This window comes from Homo sapiens, chromosome 6 (assembly GCF_000001405.40).
Source record: "Homo sapiens chromosome 6, GRCh38.p14 Primary Assembly".
NCBI classification, from domain to species: Eukaryota; Metazoa; Chordata; class Mammalia; order Primates; family Hominidae; genus Homo; species Homo sapiens.
Window position 1 is genome coordinate 11,387,295 of NC_000006.12, and position 19,938 is coordinate 11,407,232.

The 19,938-nt window shown below is 43.7% G+C and overlaps 1 long non-coding RNA gene across 1 annotated transcript, besides 1 other annotated feature; it reads right to left on the bottom strand.

The window, feature by feature from the left end:
- Positions 1–4,580: 4,580 nt before the first annotated feature.
- LOC105374927 (uncharacterized) lies at positions 4,581–7,568 on the bottom strand. Its single transcript, XR_926477.3, has 2 exons — positions 7,101–7,568; positions 4,581–5,764 (listed from the first exon to the last, which is right to left on the bottom strand). It is a non-coding gene; the product is annotated as an uncharacterized LOC105374927 (long non-coding RNA).
- Positions 7,619–7,831: a silencer, noted in NCBI's record as "fragment chr6:11395146-11395358 (GRCh37/hg19 assembly coordinates)". NCBI's record gives its function as "represses an EF-1alpha promoter that drives an FKBP-Casp9 reporter gene in an ReSE screen in K562 erythroleukemia cells {active_cell/tissue: K562}" and the evidence as "EXISTENCE:reporter gene assay evidence [ECO:0000049][PMID:32094911]".

Sequence of the window (19,938 nt, forward strand, 5' to 3'; positions counted from 1 at the left end):
TTTCTTTTTTTTTGAGACAGAGTTTTGTTCTTGTCGCCCAGGCTGGAGTGCAATGGCGCGATCTCGGCTCACCGCAACCTCCGCCTCCCGGGTTCAAGTGATTCTCCTGCCTCAGCCTCCCAAGAAGCTGGGATTACAGGCATGCGCCACCATGCCCGGCTAATTTTTTGTATTTTTTAGTAGAGACGGGGTTTCTCCATGTTGGTCAGGCTGGTCTCGAACTCCCGACCTCAGGTGATCCGCCCACCTTGGCCTCCCAAAGTGCTGGGATTACAGGCGTGAGCCACCGCGCCCGGCCTCTCTTCTTTCTTTCATACTCAGTTTTCCTAAGAAATTTGTCTACACTTCATACCTCCACTTCCACACTTTCCATTCCTTCCTTCCTCACTGCATTCCTTCCATCCTGACATCTGGTCCATGCCTCCAGCTCTCCGCTGAAATCATCTTTGCTAAGGTCACCCTCAGGAACCTGGATGATAAACCGGTAGACACTACAAAGTCTTTTTCTCTGCTGCATTGGAAGTGGTTGAGCAATTCTTTCCTCTCAGACCCCTCTCTACTTCTTTGGAGGACACCTCTTGCCTTGGTTCCCCTCTTTCTGGTTCAGTACACTCCACCACTTACTGCTACGGTGATTCACCCTTGGGCATCACACATTTTCACTCTTCTGCTTTCTGTATGGGTAGGTTCATCCCATTTAAAAGAGGGACCTTCTCTTCCCACACTTCCATTTGTCCTAGTTCATTTGCATTGCAATAAAGGAATACTTGAGGCTGGTCATTTATAAAGAAAAGAGCTTTATTTGGCTCATTGTTCTGCTGGGCTGTACAAGTCGCATGGTGCCATTGCTTGGGGGAGGGACAGGAGGGCCTCAGGGAGCTTCCAGTCATGTTGGAAGAGGAAGGGAAGCTTGCATGTGCAGAGATCAGGTGATGAGAGAGGAAGCAAGAAAGGGCGGAAGTGCCAGGCTCTTTTTAACAACCAGCTCTTGTGGGAACTAATAGATTAAAAACCCACTCACCACCCTGTCAAGGGAAGACACTAATCTAATCTGCACTAATGAAGGGTCTGCACCCATGACCCAAACACCTTCAATCCAGCCCCACTTTCAACATTGGGGGTTAAATTTCAGCATGAGATTTGGAGGGACAAACATCCAAACTATTGTCTTTTGCCTGTCTGTTCTCCCAGTCATTACCCATGTCATTACCGTATTCTCAGTCCCTCTGCCCCAAAACACTGCAGATCTTTTCCCCACTGCATCTTCAATCCAACCAGTCACCATATTCTGTGTTGTTGTCTTTTTAAATTAAATCTCAAATCCAATCTTGTTGACGCATTCAGTTCCCTCTCTGTGTGTCCCTTGCCACTTTCTTAGTTTAGACGTTAATTGCTCAGACTGTTACAACAATTCCTAGCTGTGAGGTCCTCTTCTAGCCTCTATAGAACACTGTTAGGAACACGGTAGGTGCTATGGTTCAGATTTTTGTGTCCCCCCCAAAATTCATATGTTGGAACCTAATTCTTAAGGTGTTATTATTAGGAAGTGGGGCATTTGAGAGGTGATTAGGAGATGAGGACAGTGTCCTGATGAATGGAATTAGTCCCCTTATAAAAGAGGCCTGAAGGAGTCTTTTGCTCCTCTCACCACATGCAGACCCAGCTGGAAGGCACTATCTATGAGGAAGAGGGACCTCAGCAGACACTGAATCTGCTGGCGCCTTGATCTTAGACTTCCAGCCTCCACTACTGGGAGCAATCACTTTCTGTTGTTTGTAAGTTACTCAGTCCTAGTTATTTGGTATAGCAGCCTGAATGGGCCAATACACCAGGTCCTCAGGAGATATTAATTGAATGAACATCTTCAAAATATTAGATACTTCCATAGACAAACTTCATATCTTCTCATGTTCACTTTCTGCTTAAAGACTTTTGCCAACTTCCTGTTGCCTACAAAATAGAATTGAAATGACTGTGCTGGTGAATGGCAGTCCACTCTTCTCTTTACATTCTCTCCTGCCTTGTCCACCTCTGCAGTGCCCTTCACCTTCCCATCACATCAAACTGTGATTCACCCTTGGGCCCCACACATGTTCATGCTCCTGCTTTCTCTGGATAAGTTCATCCCATTTAAACCAGGGGCCAGCCTTCTCGTCCCATACTTCCATTTGTCTCAGTCCATTTGTGTTGCTATAAAGAAATACCTGAGTCTGCTAATTTATTAAACATTGAGGCTGCTCTCGGTCCCCTCCTATTCCATAATTTCTCATGGTTATGGCATGTAAAGGCTGTTCCCCTGCCTAGAATGCCCTTTCTCCTTGTCTTTCTGGCAACCCCTTGGTATCCCCTGGACAGAGTCTTCCTTTCCTCCTTCACTGTCACCAGGCCCTCTATTAATCACATAATGTCACAATAGTGTATCTCCATTCCCTGGACTTTGAGGCTCCAGAGGGCAGGGAACTGTTGTTTATTCATTCTGGAGACCAAACTAAACATTTTACAAAGTAGTCCATGGAGGTCTCTTATCAGAATCACCTATGAGGCTGGTTAAATGTAGATTCCCAGGCTCTGTGACTCAACTGCAAATTCTGTTTGTCTTGGTCGTGGGACTGTCCTAGGCAAATCTTACGGACATGAATGTTTGAGAACACTTCTACAGCATCCAACAAATATTTGATGAATAAAAACTTGATTAAAAAAGTACTGAGATCCCTGCTCCTAAAATTCTGCTCTATTTCCTTCATTCCTCTGGGGTGTAGTTTGGCTGGGGACAGGCCCAGGTATTTGGCTCAGTCATAGATCAAAGTGACCTAAATGGGAAACAGCTGTGCGTTATTCCCCAACCATGTCACGCAAGTACCTATTGTCCTGTCCAAAACGCCAAATTAGGTTTAGGGCCATTCAAATTCCGGAAGATGGTTGGCTGTGATAAGAACTAACAAATTCTTGCTCAAGTGGAAACTGGTTTTGCAGGGCATACTCTGCATTTTTAACTCACTAAAGCCAAGTTCTTAAGTTTAAGTGGTTCGTAAGTATCTTCTAATGAGCTGCACGGTTCCATTTGCTGTGCCTATCATCGGTATTGATAACTCTAGTATCAGCTAGTAGCCCTCACCTGTTGACACTGAGTGGATTGTGAATGAGCTTTTTTAGACTTTAGATGAGACTGCTGGGAGACTGTAATGATAGGCAAGCCTTGTTTTGGCCACAAACTCTCTAAAATGTCCTTTTTAATCTTGAGCTCTAGCAACACAATTTTGAGATCTGTCATAATGCACCATACCAGAACCCACGAAGACTTTACAAAACATACATCATCTGAATGACCTCAAGACTACACGACAACACATATTTGTTGTATTTGTTATTTACCAAATATGTATGTATTATGTATCATTACTTACCAACCAATGAAATCTTTTCTTTTTTTTTTTTTCTTTCTTTTTTTTTTTTTTGAGACAGAATCTTGCAGAATCTTGCTCTGTTGCCAGGCTGGAGTGCAGTGGCATGATCTCTGCTCACTGCAACCTCCGCCTCCCAGTTCAAGTGATTCTCCTGCCTCAGACTCCCGAGTAGCTGGGATTACAGGTGCAAGCCACCATGCCCGGCTAATTTTTTTGTATTTTTTAGTAGAGATGGGGTTTCACCATATTAGCCAGGATGGTCTTGAACTCCTGACCTCGTGATCCACCCGGCTTGGCTTCCCAAAGTGCTGGGACTACAGGCTTGAGCCATCACGCCCGGCCAATGAAATCTTTTAAAAATTCCATATAGATGCCGCAGTTCCACTTCGGGATATATATATCCTAAGGACTTGAAATTATGTTGAAGAGATATCTGTACTCCCATGTTTACTGCAGCACTGTTTATAATAGCTAAAATAGGAAATTTTCCTGTGTCCATCAGTGAACGAATGGATAAAGAAAATGTGGTATATACACACAATGGAATACAATTTAGCCTTAAAAAGAAAGAAATCCTATAATTTGCAACAACAGGGATGGATATGGAAGACATTATGCTAAGTGAAATAAGCCAGGCACAGAAAGACAAATACTGCCTGCTCTCACTCATATGTGGAATCTAGAATAATTTAACTAATAGAGAGCAAAATGATGGTAAAATGATTTTTGCTCCAAATAATGTAAAAATACCAGAGGCTGGAGGTCAGGGAATGGGGAGGTGGTGGTAAAGGGGTAGAAAGTTAGACAAGAGGAATAAATGATAAGTATTTAAGGGGATGGATATGTTAATTAGCTTGATTCCAACATTCCTCGTTGTATACATACACCATAACATCACTGTGCACCCTATAATTATATCTGATTATAATTTGTAAAAAAAATAAATAAAAGGACACATAAAAATGTAGAAACACACTGATATCATATACGGGTGAATACATATTTGTATCTGAGATATGGAAAATAAAGACACCAGGAGTGATTTGAAATTGCTCTTTCTGGTTCCTTTGTGGAGGAGTTAAGACCTGTCTATGGCATCCAAGAAGAAACAGGATATGGATTGGCAATTAAGCCACCAGCTGGATTGCTCAGATAATGCCACAGTTAGGTGGAGCCTTAGAGGTCATCTAACTTTATTTAGTACATATTACTTATTCTTTAACATTTCCATCATTTCTTTATTACACAAATAACACACAGTCGTTATTGAAACCAGAAAAAAGAAATAATTTGAAAAGATGACAAAACCAATGTTACATTGGAGAATACATTCTTTTAGACATTTTCCCATGCATATGTAGTGTTAGCCATCAGAATGTATTAGTTTTCTATTGCTGCTGTAACAAGTTACTGCAAACTTAACAGCTTAAAACAACACAAATCTGTTATATTACAGTTCTATAGGTTAAAAGTTTAACACAGGTTTAACAGGGCTAAAGCTGGGGTGTTTGGCAGGCTGTGTTCCTCCTCTTTAGGTTGGGAAGAATCTGCTTCCTTGCCTTTTTCCAGCTTCTAGAGGCCATCCACATTCCTTGGTTCACGGCCCCTTCCTCTATCTTGAAAGCCAGTAGTGCAGCATCTCTCTGACCATTCTTCCCTCATCACATCTCTCCTTGACCACAGCTGGGAAAATCTCTCCCTGATTTTAAGAACCCATATGATTAGACTGGGCCCACATGTATAACATAGGACCCTATCTCAATGTTGTAACTTAATCATATCTGCAAAATCCCTTTTGCCATGTAAGGTAACATAGTCTCAAATTCTGAGAATTAGGATGTGGACATGTTTAGGGCTATTATTTTGCCTATCACACATAGAGATGAAACAACTCATGTTCGTGCAGGATACGTGACTTACCCAAGATCACAGGCTGGTAAATATTGGATCTATTAGTTAAACTTTTTCAGCGAGTCTGATGCAATTAGATTCTCTGGTGGAAATTCATGATGAAAGAGATGTAAGGAACTAATGGAAATTACTGATGAAAGGGACATAACAAAGAAATGCAGAGCTTGAATGGACTTAGTTCTGAGTCTCACACTTTGTTCTCAGTCTACAGATACCATGATCTTGATCTCTCAAAAGCAGGCATTGGCACAGGAGGTGCCTGTCTGTTTCTGCTGCCACTCTTGACATCTCTCAGATGACCCCTTCTGGCTCCTTTCAATTTCCTTCTTTTGCTGTTTGGCTTGGCTTCTGCTGTCTCCTGCTTCCACCGGCTGCCTCCTTTCCATGAGTCTCTCGGTTTCTGGATCCTATTGCCACTTGCATTTCTCTCTGTGTCATTTTCAAGTTCCCTAAAAGAAAATATCTGATATAGTTCATTGTTCACTGCAGGGCACTAGGCAACCCTTATCGTGTAGAGATTCCCACTGTGTTATCTCCCTGGCTGCCAGCCAGTTTGCTGATGGCTGTCTTCAAAGACAACTGCCATTTCCTGGTTTCATCAGCCAGGATCATAGGGTCAAACGTGACAATCTGCACGTACGAAATCACTCATGGTCACCTCCCTCAGCATAGCACCACGGGCAGGGTAGGCACAGAGAGACTTTTCTCCGAATCCTGGACTGGAATTTTCTTCCTGGCTCACCCCTGCATATACTGAAGCTGAGCCATATCGGGGTACCACAGCTAGAATGATGTAGCTGAATGAATGAGCGTGAGAAGGGGCCAAAGGGGAGGAAGACATCAGTCCCGAGAACCAAGACTGAATATGGGCATTTGGAAAACAGTTTAGGTAATTGCATTCAGTACTTCAAGGCTCTAATTGCTGTTCTTTAACAAGGAGGCCACATTGGCTTATGAAAAGTTCTAAAATTATATAATTTTTATCAGTAACCAGGACCTCAAGTTGCTCCCACAAACCACATAGGGCCTTGCAAAATGAGGCTTTGGGAAGGGGACTCTGATGTTTCTAAATTTCGCACCCTTTGGTTTCTCCAGCTACATTAGCTCTGAAAGGGGCACAAAATGGCCTCATTAACTGGGGAAGAACGAGTCTAAACGAGTTTCAGAAGAAGAAAAGGTCTCTTGGATCCATTGAGCCCTGCCACCACCCCCACCAACCTTCCTAATGGAAGAATGCTGCTGGAAAAGTGTCATCCGATATTTCCCACAAAAATGTGTGCTGTGGTCACAGCTCAGAGATGCCAACACAAATCTCCAACACAGCCACCTCCTGACTGAGAATACATTCTGGGCTGTTTTTAGTTTGAGCCTCAGTAATCGGGGACAAAAGCTGATTTCAATTTTAATTAATTACATGGGAGTGAACGGCCATCTGATCCATAGGGGTCATAGCACATAATGCCCTCAGTGGCACTATGCCGGCAGAGCACTGGGAGGAACTTGTCTTTGTGGTATGCTACATTTTCTCTTCCTGTTGCACTTTTAGAGAAGATTCTCTAAAAATGATTGTGTCCTCAGCCTCCTACACTTTATAATAATTAACCAAATTCATTCATTTTTACTTTTTTTAAATAACAGTCTTCCTGCTGCCCATCAAAACATATTTTTTGAGCAATAAGCACTCTGTTCAGAGCTGGAATAAACTGGTGAGTAAAAACAGACATGGTCTGGGAGACTACACAGATTGGATATTTTTGCTCCAAATAATGTAAAAATACAACTTACACTGGGTTGAACAATAGATATTTGCTGCCTCATCAAGCAAGAATCCAGGGGGTAGGGTGGGTCCAGCATTGGTTAATTCAACAGTTCCATAGAAGTCTTCATATCAGCTTTGGTCTGAAGTTCTTGGTTCCCTCATGATTGCAAACTGTCTGCAATAGCTCTAGGCGGTGCATTCCCAACCACATCTAAATGAAAATAAATTAAAAAACCCAAAAGAAAGGCTCACTGCTCTTCGGATCTCTATGCTTCTTTTTGAGAGATGATTCCTTTCCTAGAAAAACTCTTCCTCCAAGGCTCACTCTCCAGCAGACATATCCACAAGTCTTAGAGGCAGAATTGCATCCCAAGCCTGTTCCTAAGCCAGTCAACAACAAAGCAAATGAAATGGTCCTAAATGGTTTAGGACCGTCACATTTTACCTCCTGGGGTTAAGAAAAGGCTCAGTCTGCAGCCATAAAAAGGAATGAGTTCATGTCCTTTGCAGGGACATGGATGAAGCTGGAAGTCATCATTCTCAGCAAACTAACACAGGAACAGAAAACCAAACACCACATGTTCTCGCTCATAAGTGGGAGTTGAACAATGAGAACACATGGACACAAGGAGGGGAACAACACACACCAGGGCCTCTCGGTGGGTGGGGGGGCAAGGGGAGGGAGAGCATTAGGACAAATACCTAATGCACGTGGGGCTTAAAACCTAGATGACAGGTTGATAGGTGCAGCAAACCACCATGACAAATGTATACCTGTGTAACAAACCTGCACATTCTGCACATGTATCTTGGAACGTAAAGTAAAATTTAAAATTAAAATTAAAAAATAAAAGGCTCAGTCTTTCCCAAAGCACAAAGATGCCCCATTCAGAAACACAATTCAGGATCCTTAGCAGGGAGAAAGGATAGTTATTGGATAAGAAGCCAGCAATGGCTGCCTCAATAAGAGACTTTCAGATGACCTGGGAGGGAGGGGAAGAAACACTACCCACCCCCAACCCCGCTCCCTAGTAAGCACAGAGTCAGGAAGATCAAAGTTTTAGGGTCAGCATTGCTACTTAGTAGTTGTTAGATCTTGGATTAGTTATTTAGCCTTGTGGAACCTCAATTTCTGCATCTGTGAAGTGGGAAATTACACCTATCTCACTGGGTTGCAGTGAGAATCAAATATATTAGTATATGCAAATTACCTGGCAGGCACCCAGCCCATAGATTTGTCCAGTAAATACCATTCCCTTGCCCAAAGCCCTTGGGCAGCTTACAGTCCAACTTGCTGGGTAACTGACAGGTCAGTCTGCTCACATTCTGATTATTAAGCACTATGGAAAAGGTATGTAAAGAGGCTTCCTAGGGGAGGGAATACTATCACAGTTCCTAGGAGCCACTAAGGTCCTCCAGATGCTTTTCTAGATCCAATGGGTGCTTTCCATTTCTTTGTCTTACCTTACCTTTCTGCAGCATCACTTATCTTGGCAATTCCTTTTCTTCTTTTTTTTTTGAGACGGAGTTTTGCTCTCGTTGCCCAGGCTGGAGTGCAATGGTGTGATCTCGGCTCACTGCAACCTCTGCCATCTAGGTTGAAGCGATTCTCCTACCTCAGCCTCCCAAGTAGCTAGGATTACAAGCGCCCACCACCATGTCTAGCTAATTTTTTTGTATTTTTAGTAGAGACAGGGTTTCACCATGTTGGTCAGGCTTGTCTTGAACTGCTGACCTCAGGTAATCCACCCACCTCGGCCTCCCAAAGTGCCAGGATTACAGGTGTGAGCCACCGTGCCCAGCCAGCAATTCCTTTTCTTCTTAACTCTACCTTGCCCTCTTGCCCTGTGTTCCATTACAATTTTCTCCTGGTTTATTATCTACCTCTCTAGCAACTCCTTTTCATGCTCCCTTCCAGGGTCCTCTTTTTTTTTTCCCTTCCCCAAACTGTGTTTCAATCTCACCTGTCAATTCCCCTTCTGTTTCAATCTCACCTGTCAATTCCTGAGGTGAGATCCCATTGTTTCCTACACTTTCAACTCCTATTTATATGTTCACGACACATAGGAGACATTCAATGCACATTGTTTTAATTCATTTTTTATTCAACAAATATTTATTGAGTGCTTACTATATGCTTGGTGCTGTTCTGTGTGCTGGAGATAGAGCAATAAACTAATCACACCAATCCCTGCCCTCATGAAACTTACATTCTAGTGAAGAGACAGACAATGAATAAATGAAATAAACATTTCACATGTTAGATGGAGGAAATGCTTTGGAAAAATATAATGCTGGGTAGGTAGGATGGGTGGCCATGAGCAGACCCTTCTATTCATTATGGGGTCCCCGGGAATGCCTCCTTAATAATGCAACATTTAGGCAGAGACTTAAAATAAGGGAGGGATTATACCATGAGGCTGGGCAGGGGCAATAACAAGCACAAATGCCCTGGGGTGGGACAGTGTTTGGCATCTTGAAGGAATCATCATGGGGCTAGAATGAAGGGAGAAAGAGGATGAAAAGATCAGGAAGACAGATCAGGTTGCAAGGGCAATGTTAGGGCTTTGGCCTCTACCGTGAGTGAGACAGGAGCTGTTGAAGATTTTAAGGAGAGGAGCAATATGATCTGACTTATGCTCCTAGAGACCACTGCAATAATCAAAGTGAGAGATAGTGGGGGCTTGGATCAGGGTGGTGGTGGTAGAGTAGTGAGAAATGATTAATTTGAGTCATAATTGGAGGTGAGACCAACACTATCTTCTGCTGGATGTGGGGAGTGGAAGAAAGAAATCAAGATGGAGCTCAAAGGTTTTGGCCCCAGTAAAGAGAAGGAGAGTTGTCATTTTCAGAGGTAAGAAAGACCGACCAGCAGCCGTGGATCACACCTGTAATCCCAGCACTTTGGGGTGCCGAGGCGGAAGGATCACCTGAAGTCGGGAGATCAAGACCAGTCTAGCCAACGTGGTGAAGCCCCATCTCTACTAAAAACACACACACAAAAAATAGCTGTGCATGGTGGCACGCTCCTGTAATCTCAGTTACTTGGGAAGCAGAGGTGGGAGAATCACTTGGACCTGGGAGGCGGAGGTTGCAGTGAGCCGAGATCGTGCCACTGCATTCCAGCCTGAGCAACAAGGTGAGACTCCACTTCCCAAAAAAAAAAAAAAAAAAAAAAAGAGAGAGGGACTGTGGGGGAACACACAGTGGGTGAAAATACAGAATCAATTTAGTGTAAATCAAATCCTACATGGTTATTAGACATTGAAGTGTAGCTGTTGAGAAGGGCATTTGATATGTGAATGTGGAGTTTAAGAAATAGGTCTGGATTAAAGATAAAACTTTGGAAGTCATCAGCACCTAGTTGATTTCAAAAGCAGTGATGCCAGATGAGGTCGTCAAGGGTATGCACTTAGAACAGAGAAGCAAACTGAGGACTGAGAATCGGGCATGCCAAGATGAAGAAGTCAGGGAGAGGAGGGAAACCAAGAAAGGAGACTAAGGAGTGGCCTGAGAGGAAGGAGGACAACCATGACTGTGTGGGGTCCTGAAAGGCAAGTGCAGAGAGGCCAGGAGGAGGTGAAAAGTGTGTCCACTGCTGATAGAGGAAGTGCGATGGAGGCTGAGAACAGAGTGGCGGATGTAGTGATGTGGATGTCATTGATGACCTTGACAAAGCAGTTTCAATAGTGGGTACAAGAGAGAATGGGAAGAGAGAAGTTGGAGGCAGAAGTATAGGCAACTCTGTCAAGGTGCTTTGCTGTAAAGGAGAGGAGAAGAATGGGGTGATAGCTAAAGGATGGTGTGGAGTCAAAGAAGGTTTACATTTGCTTTTAAGATAGGAGATTCAATATGCTTGAACAATAATAGAAACAAGCTAATAGACACTGACATTTTTATGATGCAGTGGAGAGGGAATAGAATTATTGAAATGAGGTCTTTGGGAAAGGGAAAAGGGATGGGACCCAGAAAACTAACAGAAAATTTGGTTAGTTTTCCTCAAGAGAAAAGGCAGATTATAGGTGTGGGGGTGTGAGTTCAAGCACATCCTCTTCTGGCTGCTTCTGCTGTTTCCACGAAATAGAAAATAAGGCCATCGGCTAAGACCTAACTCTGTGCAGGAGGTGAAGAAGGCTCAAGGAGAAAGAATGGGGTGTGAGATAACCACCTTGGAGGGTAGGAGAGTAATGGACTCAGGGAACGTGGTAGGATCATTGATGGGTAAATACTGAGTCAACATTGGCTGTTGCATGTTAGCTCTACAATCTGCTTTGAACCCTGATATCTCTCCTGAGTTCAGCCTGATCTTCCTACAGTCCCTGTTTTAGAGACTGTCACTCCCATGCACCCAGTTTCCAAAGCAGAGAACTGGGAGTCATTTAAAATTCCTTCCAGTAAATAAATCATCTCTCCAATTGGTGACCACATTTTGTCACTTCTAGCTCCTTAATATTTCTTAACTTTTCCTCCTGAGTTGAGAGCCTTGCCAGTTTTCACTGGATTAGTTAAGTAACTGTCACATTGTTATTGCTTAGGCTATTTCCTCCACTAGACTATAAATTTTTAAAATTCAGCTCAACACTCTTCAATAAATGGTGCTGGACAAACTGGATAATCATATGCAGAATAATGAAACGAGACCCCCATCTCTCACATATACAAAAATCAAATAAAAATAAATTAAAGACTGAAATCTAAGACCCGAAAGTATTAAACTACTAGGAGAAAACACTGGGGAAATGCTCCAGGACTTTGATCTGGGCAAAGGTTTGTTGCGTAAGACCTCAAAAGCAAAGGCAATCTAAGCAAAAATAGACAAATGGGATTACATCAAGCAAAAACGTTCTGTACAGCAAAGGCAACAATCAGTAGAGTGTACAGACAGCCTACAGAATAGGAAAAGATATTTGCAAACTGTCCATCTGACAAGAATTTTAAAAACAGGATATATAAGGAACTCAAACAACTCAAGAGCAAAAAAAAAAAAATTAAAAAATAGACAAAAGATCTGAATAGACTTTTCTCAAAAAAAAAAAAAAAAAACCCTACAAATGGCCAATGGGTACATTTAAAAATGCTCAACACCACTAATAATCAGAGAAACACAAATCAAAACCACAATGAGCTGGGCATGGTGGCTCACGCCTGTAATCCCAGCACTTTGGGAGGCTGAGGCAGGTGGATCACTTGAGTTCAGGAGTTCCATACCAGCCTGGGCAACATAGTGAAACCCCATGTCTACTAAAAATACAAAAATTATCCAGGCGTAGTGACACAAGCCTGTAGTCCCAGCTACTTGGGAGGCTGAGGCAGGATAATTGCTTGAGCCCAGGAGGCAGAGGTTGCATGAGCCAAGATCACACCACTGCACTCCAGCCTGAGCAACAGAGTGAGACCCTGTCTCAAAACAAAACAAAACCCAAAAAACAACCACAATGAGATGATATCATCTCATCCCACTTAAAATGGCTTTTATCAAAAAGACAGGGAATAATGGATGCTGGCAAGAATGTAGGGAAAAGGGGAACCCTCATACACTATTGGTGGGAATGTAAATTAGTACAACCACCCTGGAAAACTAAATGGAAATTCCTCAAAAAGCTAAAAATAGAACTACCATGTGATTCAGTAATTCCACTGCTGAGTATATCTCCAAAAGAAAGGAAATCAATATATCAATGAGATATCTGCACTCTCATGTTTACTGCAGCACTATTCATAATAGTCAAAATATGGAATCAACCTAAGTGTCCATCAATGGATAAATGGACACAGAAAATATGGTATATGTAGACACTGGAATATTATTCAGCCATAAAAAGAATGACTTGAACCTAGGAGTTTGAAACTACTCTGGACGACATGGCAAAATCCCATCTCTCCAAAAAATTATAAACTTAGTGGGGTGTAGCGGCACATGCCTGTAGTCCCAGCTACTCAGGAGGCTGAGGTGGGAGGATTGACTGAACCTTGAAGATCAAGGCTGTAGTGAGCCATGATTGCGCCTCTGTACTCCAGCCTAAGTGACAGAACAAGACTCTGTCTCAAAAAAAAAAAAAAAAGAAAAGAAAAGAAAAGAAAAAGAAATCTTGTTATTTGCAGCAACACGGATGGAACTGGAGGTGTTTATGTTAAATGAAATAAGCCAAGCACAGAAAGACAAATACCACATTTCTCACTCTCATATGTGGGAGCTAAAAAAAAATGGATCTCATGAAGGTAGAGAGTAGACTGGTGGTTACCAGAGGCTGGGAAGGGTAGGAGGGTGAGGGGACGGAGACAAGTTGATTAACAAGTAGAAATGTACAGTGATAGAAGAAATGAGATCTAGTGTTTGATAAATCACTAAGGTGATTACAGTCTACAATAATTGTGTATTTCAAAATAGCTATAAGAAAATTTGAATGTTTCTAGCATAAAGAAAAGATAAATATTTAAGGTAATGAATATCCCAATTACACTGATTTGATCTTTACATATATGAATGGGCTGTGCGTGGTGACTCACGCCTGTAACCTCAGCACTTTGGGAGGCTGAGGTGGGAGGATCACTTGAGGTCAGGAGCTCAAGACCAGCCTGGACAACATAGTAAAACCCCAAATCTACTAAAAATGAAAAAAAATTAGCCAGATGTGGTGCCACGTGCCTGTAGTCCCAGCTACTGGGGCGGCTGAGGCAGGAGAATTGCTCGGACCTGGGAGGCAGAGGTTACAGTGAGCCGAGATCATGCCACTGTACTTTAGCCTGGGAAACAGAGCGAGACTCTGTCTCAAACACACACACACACACAAAGACCAAATTACATAAATGTATTAAATTCTCACAGGTACCTCTAAAATATGTGCATCTATTATGTATCAATTAAAAATAAAATAAATTCAGCTCAGCAAACATTGAGGACATTCCATGTAGGAAACGAAGGTGAATAATACTGAGTCTGTGCCTTTGAATAGCTCACAAATTTTAGGACAATAGCTCTCAATTTTTGAGAACACTGGAAGAGAATCACGTTTTTGGGAGCAATAGTATAGTTCGGTTTTGGACACTGTCAGCTTGAGATACTTGTGAGACGTCCACGTAGGAATATTGAGTAGTTTAGCCAAAACACATTGGGTGATTGTGTGATCCAGTATTACTCCTTTAGTAATTATGAGGTGTGGCCCAAGGTGCCTTCTATTTACCTGGGCTCTTGTTAAAATAGGAATGGGGGAAGTCAGTAAGTCTGCAGCTGTCAGGGGCCGTAGCTCTAATGAACGCCCACATGATGCCAACGATACTGATCCACAAACTTCACCTTCATGTGTATGTTGTTGTAGTAACAAGAAAGCTACCTAAGCATAATTTATTTATAGCAAGTGTATTAAGACAAAACCACCCAAGTCCTTCACTGGCAGGTGTAGGAATATGTACTATGATTCTGAAAAAGATGTAGAACTACGAAAGTTTGTCCGGAATTGGCAGATTCTTAGTCTCACTGACTTCAAGAATGAAGCCGCAGATCCTCGTGGTGAGTGTTATAGTTCTTAAAAGTGGCGTGTCCAGAGTTTGTTCTTTTTGACGTTCAAATGTGTTTGCAGTTTCCTTCTTCTGGTGGGTTCATGGTCTACACCAGCTCAGGAGGGAAGCTACAGACCTTCGTGGTGAGCCTCACAACTCACAAACTCAGTGTTGACCCAAAGAGCAAGCAGTAGCAAGACTTATTGCAGAGCAAAAAAAAAAAAAAACAAACTTTCCACAATCCGGAAGGAGACTCCAGCGAGTTACTACTGCTGGCTCGGGCAGCCTGCTTTTATTCTCTTCTCTGGCCCCACCCACATCCTGCTGATTGGTAGAGCCAAGTGGTCTGTTTTGACAGGGCGCTGATTGGTGCCTTTACAATCCCTGAGCTAGATACAAAGGTTCTCCACATCCCCACCAGATTAGCTAGATACAGTGTCCACACAAAGGTTCTCCAAGGCCCCACCAGAGTAGCTAGATACAGAGTGTCGATTGGTGCATTCACAAACCCTGAGCTAGACACAGGGTGCTGATTGGTGTGTTTACAAACCTTGAGCTAGATACAGAGTACCGATTGGTGTATTTACAATCCCTGAGCTAGACATAAAGGTTCTCCACGTCCCCACCAGACTCAGGAGCCAAACTGGTTTCGCGCAGTGGATCCCAGACAGGGGTTGCAGCTGGAGCTGTTTGCCAGTCCCGCGCCGTGCACCCGCACTCCTCAGCCCTTGGGTGGTCGATGGGACTGGGCGCTGTGGAGCAGAGCGCGGTGCTCATTGGGGAGGCTCAGGCCGCATAGGAGCCCACGGAGGGGATGGGAGGCTCAGGCATAGGCGGGCTGCGGGCCCTAGCCCTGCCCCGCGGGAACGCAGCTGAGGCCCGGCGAGAAATCGAGCGCAGCGCCGGTGGGCCGGCACTGGTGGGGGACCTAGTACAGCCTCCGCAGCTGCTGGCCTGGGTGCTAAGCCCCTCATTGCCCGGGGCCGGCAGGGCCGGCCGGCTGCTCCGAGTGCGGGGCCCGCCAAGCCCACGCCCACCGGGAACTCTAGCTGGCCCGCAAGCGCCGCGCACAGCCCCGGTTCCCGCTCGCGCCTCTCCCTCCACACCTCCCTGCAAGCTGAGGGAGCCGGCTCCGGCCTTGGCCAGCCCGGAAAGGGGCTCCTACGGTGCAGCGGTGGGCTGAAGGGCTCCTCAAGTGCCGCCAAAGTGGGAGCCCAGGCAGAGGAGGCGCCGAGAGCGAGCGAGGGCTGTGAGGACTGCTAAGGATGTGAAAGAGACATAATATGGTTTTATGCAGAATGCTTTTTGAAAGCCAGCCGTGTGTCAACTGCTATCTAGGCAGCAGAGGTAACAACAGTGAACCGTGAACAGGAAACCCAGGGAGCTTACATTCTGGAGGGAGGTGGACAGATAATAACAAGAAAACAAATAAGCAAAGTCATTTCAGATGATAGAAGTGCTGTAAAAAAAATAAAAATAGCATAATGCGATGCATCCTGGGGTGCTGCTCTAGTGGGAGGTAATTGTTGAGCCAAGAACTAACCATGCAGTGGAACCAGTCATGCAAGGACATGGGGTCAGAACATTCTGGGTACAGCAATAGTGTGTTCCTTTTCCTTGCAAGGGAAGAGGAAGGCAGCGGCCTTGAGGCAGGAGTGAGCAAGGAGGTAGGTGAGGATCAGTTACGTGTTACTGGACCCTGGGAAGCAGGAGGGGAAACAGTAGGAAATGAAGTCAAAAGATCAGCAAGGACCAAGTCATGCGGGGGCTCTGAAGCTGCAATAGAGAGTTTACATTTCATTTTAAATGTGGGAACAAAATAATTCAATTTTTTAAAAAGATAGCCAGGATCATAGATAGCCCTTGCTATCTTTTTTAAAAGGTGGCAAGCAAGCTCAGGACTGTGCTGTAGGAAGGTGAATCTGTCAGCAACATGTGGAACGGCCGGCAGAGGAAAGAGAGGCTCTTGAAATGCCTGCAATTGACGGTTAAGGAGAGCCTAAATGGGAAGTCAGACTTATGCTTCCAAATGAGGTTACAAGAAGTGACATACAAGATTCAAATAATACCCAACTCTCTTGATCCTAGGCATGCAAGGCCAAGAGCCTCTCAATAAGTCCCTCATTTAATCTCCACGACCCCACAATGCGTGTTAGAAATGCTGGTTTCCAGGGTTTTAACCTGGACCTGCTAAAAGAGAGACCACAAGGCCTCTGGTTGTCAATACATAACTGAGGCGGGAGAACAGGGTCTGGAGCTAGGGAACGTAAGTACTTCCTCGAACTAAATCAAATGAAAAACTCCAAGTCTCTACGACCAAGTAAGTAACTTTGTAACGTCACTTCATCCTCTTCATTTGCATAGGGTGTACACCAGGTAACCAATGGGAAACCTCTAGAGGGTATCTAAACCCCAGAAGATTCTGTAACCAGCTCTCTAGAGCCGCTTGCTCGGTCCTGCTCCCACCCTGTGGAGCGCTTCCGTTTTCAATACATTTCTGCCTTTGTTGCTTCATTCTTTCTTTGCTTTGTGTGGTTTGTCCAATTCTTTGTTCAAAACGCCAAGAACCTGGACACCCTCCACTGGTAACATAACTACTTTTGGGCAATTTTTAAATTCAGGGGAGGTTGGAATTAATGAGTGGGCCTCCACTTTCTTCTGCCAAAAGGGAATGAAGATGCTTATTATTTTCTGAGTGCTAGCATAGCTCTCTCTTACCCTTGGTGCCTTTCTTTAAATGCTGCAGCTCAACTTACAACCTGAGTAGTGAGATGGGAATTCCAGGATGAATCCACTTTAAACATACCAACTAGCTCACGTACCCCTGAACCTAAAATAAAAGTTAAAAAAAAAACATTAAAAAAGATTACAAAATATGTTCATGTATATTAACACTGTTCTGGTGATACGAACATTATGTAAATTAACTACTCGGTGTCTTGATTTAGTGTTATATAAACATTGCTAAAATTAAAAAAAAAAAACCAACAACTAGCAGGATGCTGGTGCCTCCTGAGGAAGCTCTGCTGCCTCTGGCAGGCATTGGTTTATTTAAAGCTAAGGCCAACCTTGGGGCAACGCTTTCCACTGCAATCCTCACGCATATTTTAATGTAAATGAGTTTCAGATCCTTTTTGAGAGAAGATTTTGCCTGGGAAATGGGACAGATCTGGGCCTAGAGTGCCTGGTAACGAACTTAGGGGAATAGAATGGGGAAGGGGATAGGGGAAGGAGGTGGCCTAGGGCACTGCACTTCACTTCCTTCACACATTTGCCCAGAGCCAGGAAACAGCCCTCGCCCCCTTCCTGAGCAGAGGGCTCTTAAAATAATGAAGAAGAAGAAAAAAATGTGGGTTTATAACTTTGCATTATTTGTGCTTGATTAGATTCTAACCTTAAAATATATATTTCTTTAAAAAGAAAACTCTGATCTGCATTTTTGACCATTTTTCTCTTGGCGTAGCTACTAGGCTGCCTTTTGCCATCTCCAGACCAGAAAAGCTTTCCTGGGCACAGGGAAGCCACAAGGCACAGTGGGGAGAATTGTGCACTTCAAATTTAATGTCATAGAAATAGGGAGATGACAGAAGCAGAAGGAAGGAAAGTCACCACTCACCATGCACTGACAGCATGCCCTGCTCTGTGCAGACATCTCTCCTGTAGATTAACTCAAGGGCTCCCCACTTTCCTCTGGTTTTCCTTTGAATCCCCACGATCGTAGATTTGCTCAAATGGTGACCACCCCTCCTGCCGAGTAATCTGTGTAAGCAGTAGCAATACCTAATATTTACCGCCCTTGTAACACACGCTAGGTGTTTTCCAGGAATTCCTTCATTGAATACTCTCAACACCTTAAGAGATGGGTCCTCATTTTCAAATAAAATTACTGACCCCTAGAGATACTGAGTGTCTTGTCCAGAATCAACAGTGCCATGATTTGATCCTAAGCCACTGGGTTCTAGAGATCATCGGTTTAGCTCTTACGTGATAGTGCTTTGACTTGTCAGGAAAGGCACAAAATTATACTTGCTCTGGTAAAATTCCCCGCTAATTTTATGTTTGAGGTCTTCAGGCTTCTTATTTTTTTTTTTTTTTTGCTCCCTTTTCTCCCTAAAAGCATCTCCTCTTCAACTTAGGTACCCAAAGCCTTGTCATATTATATATGTCATATTACATATCCCACTACCACCACCACCTCTTTTCTTAAAAGATTTACCCAATAAGATTTACTCATTCATGCTGCTATGCCTTCTAGGCACAAATGCATTTTTGGACTTTTCATCTCTATGAAACATTTTTTTCTTCTGAGAATTTTCAGCTATCCAGTAGCAGATCCATTTGCCTCTTGACCATGGTTTTGAGATGTCTTGGAATACCTGGGTGTGGAAACCTTCTCTCTAGGGTTTCCTGCTTACCTGCAGAGGGTGAGCCTCAGAACCAGACACTGGATGTATGTTCTCTGGGAGATGTTGAGCATTCATTCATTTATTCATTCATTCATCAAGTATGTATGATTGCTCCGACTGGCACTGGAGACTCTGGAAATCAAAACAAACATTGCTCCTTCTACCACAAAGCTCACAATGCACAGTCAATGACAGACATTAAGTAAGAAACTTCGATGAAAAATATATAGTTCTCAAACTACCTATTGGGTACAATATTTGGGTGATGGGTACACTAGAAGCCCAGATTTCACCACTATACAATTCATCCATGTAAGCAAAAACAACTTGTACTTTTAAAGCTATTTAAATTTTTAAAAAGGGGATTGTAACAACCTTCTTGATAAAAAAAAAAAAAAAGAAAGAACACTCCTCACCTCCATTTGTCGTTTCTTTTTTTGTTGAGACAGAGTCTTGCTCTTTCGCCCAGGCTGAAGTGCAGTGGCGCGATCTCGGCTCACTGCAAGCTCTGCCTCCCGGGTTCACACCATTCTCCTGCCTCAGCCTCCTGAATAGCTGGGACTACAGGTGCCCGCCACCACACCCGGCTAATTGTTTGTATTTTAAGTAGAGACGGGGTTTCACTGTGTTAGTCAGGATGGTCTCGATCTCCTGACCTTGTGATCCGCCTGCCTCAGCCTCTCAACCATTTGTCTTTTCTTTCCTCTTCCTTTCTCCCACCATTGGCATACCTTTGCCCCAAGGCTCCCAAATGCTGTGTGTGTTTACCCTTCTTTCCTCCCTGGTGCCAGTATCCTGGCTTGGACCTATCTCACTTCTGCCTAAGGGATGATCATCATGTTTGAACCAGCTCATTGTCAGCCAGGAAACCCATGGTTTAGTGGCCATTTTTCTCTGCTATGAAACTTCTGGTCATTTGAAACATGCAGGACAGGGTACAGCAAAAAGAACAGAGAGTAGT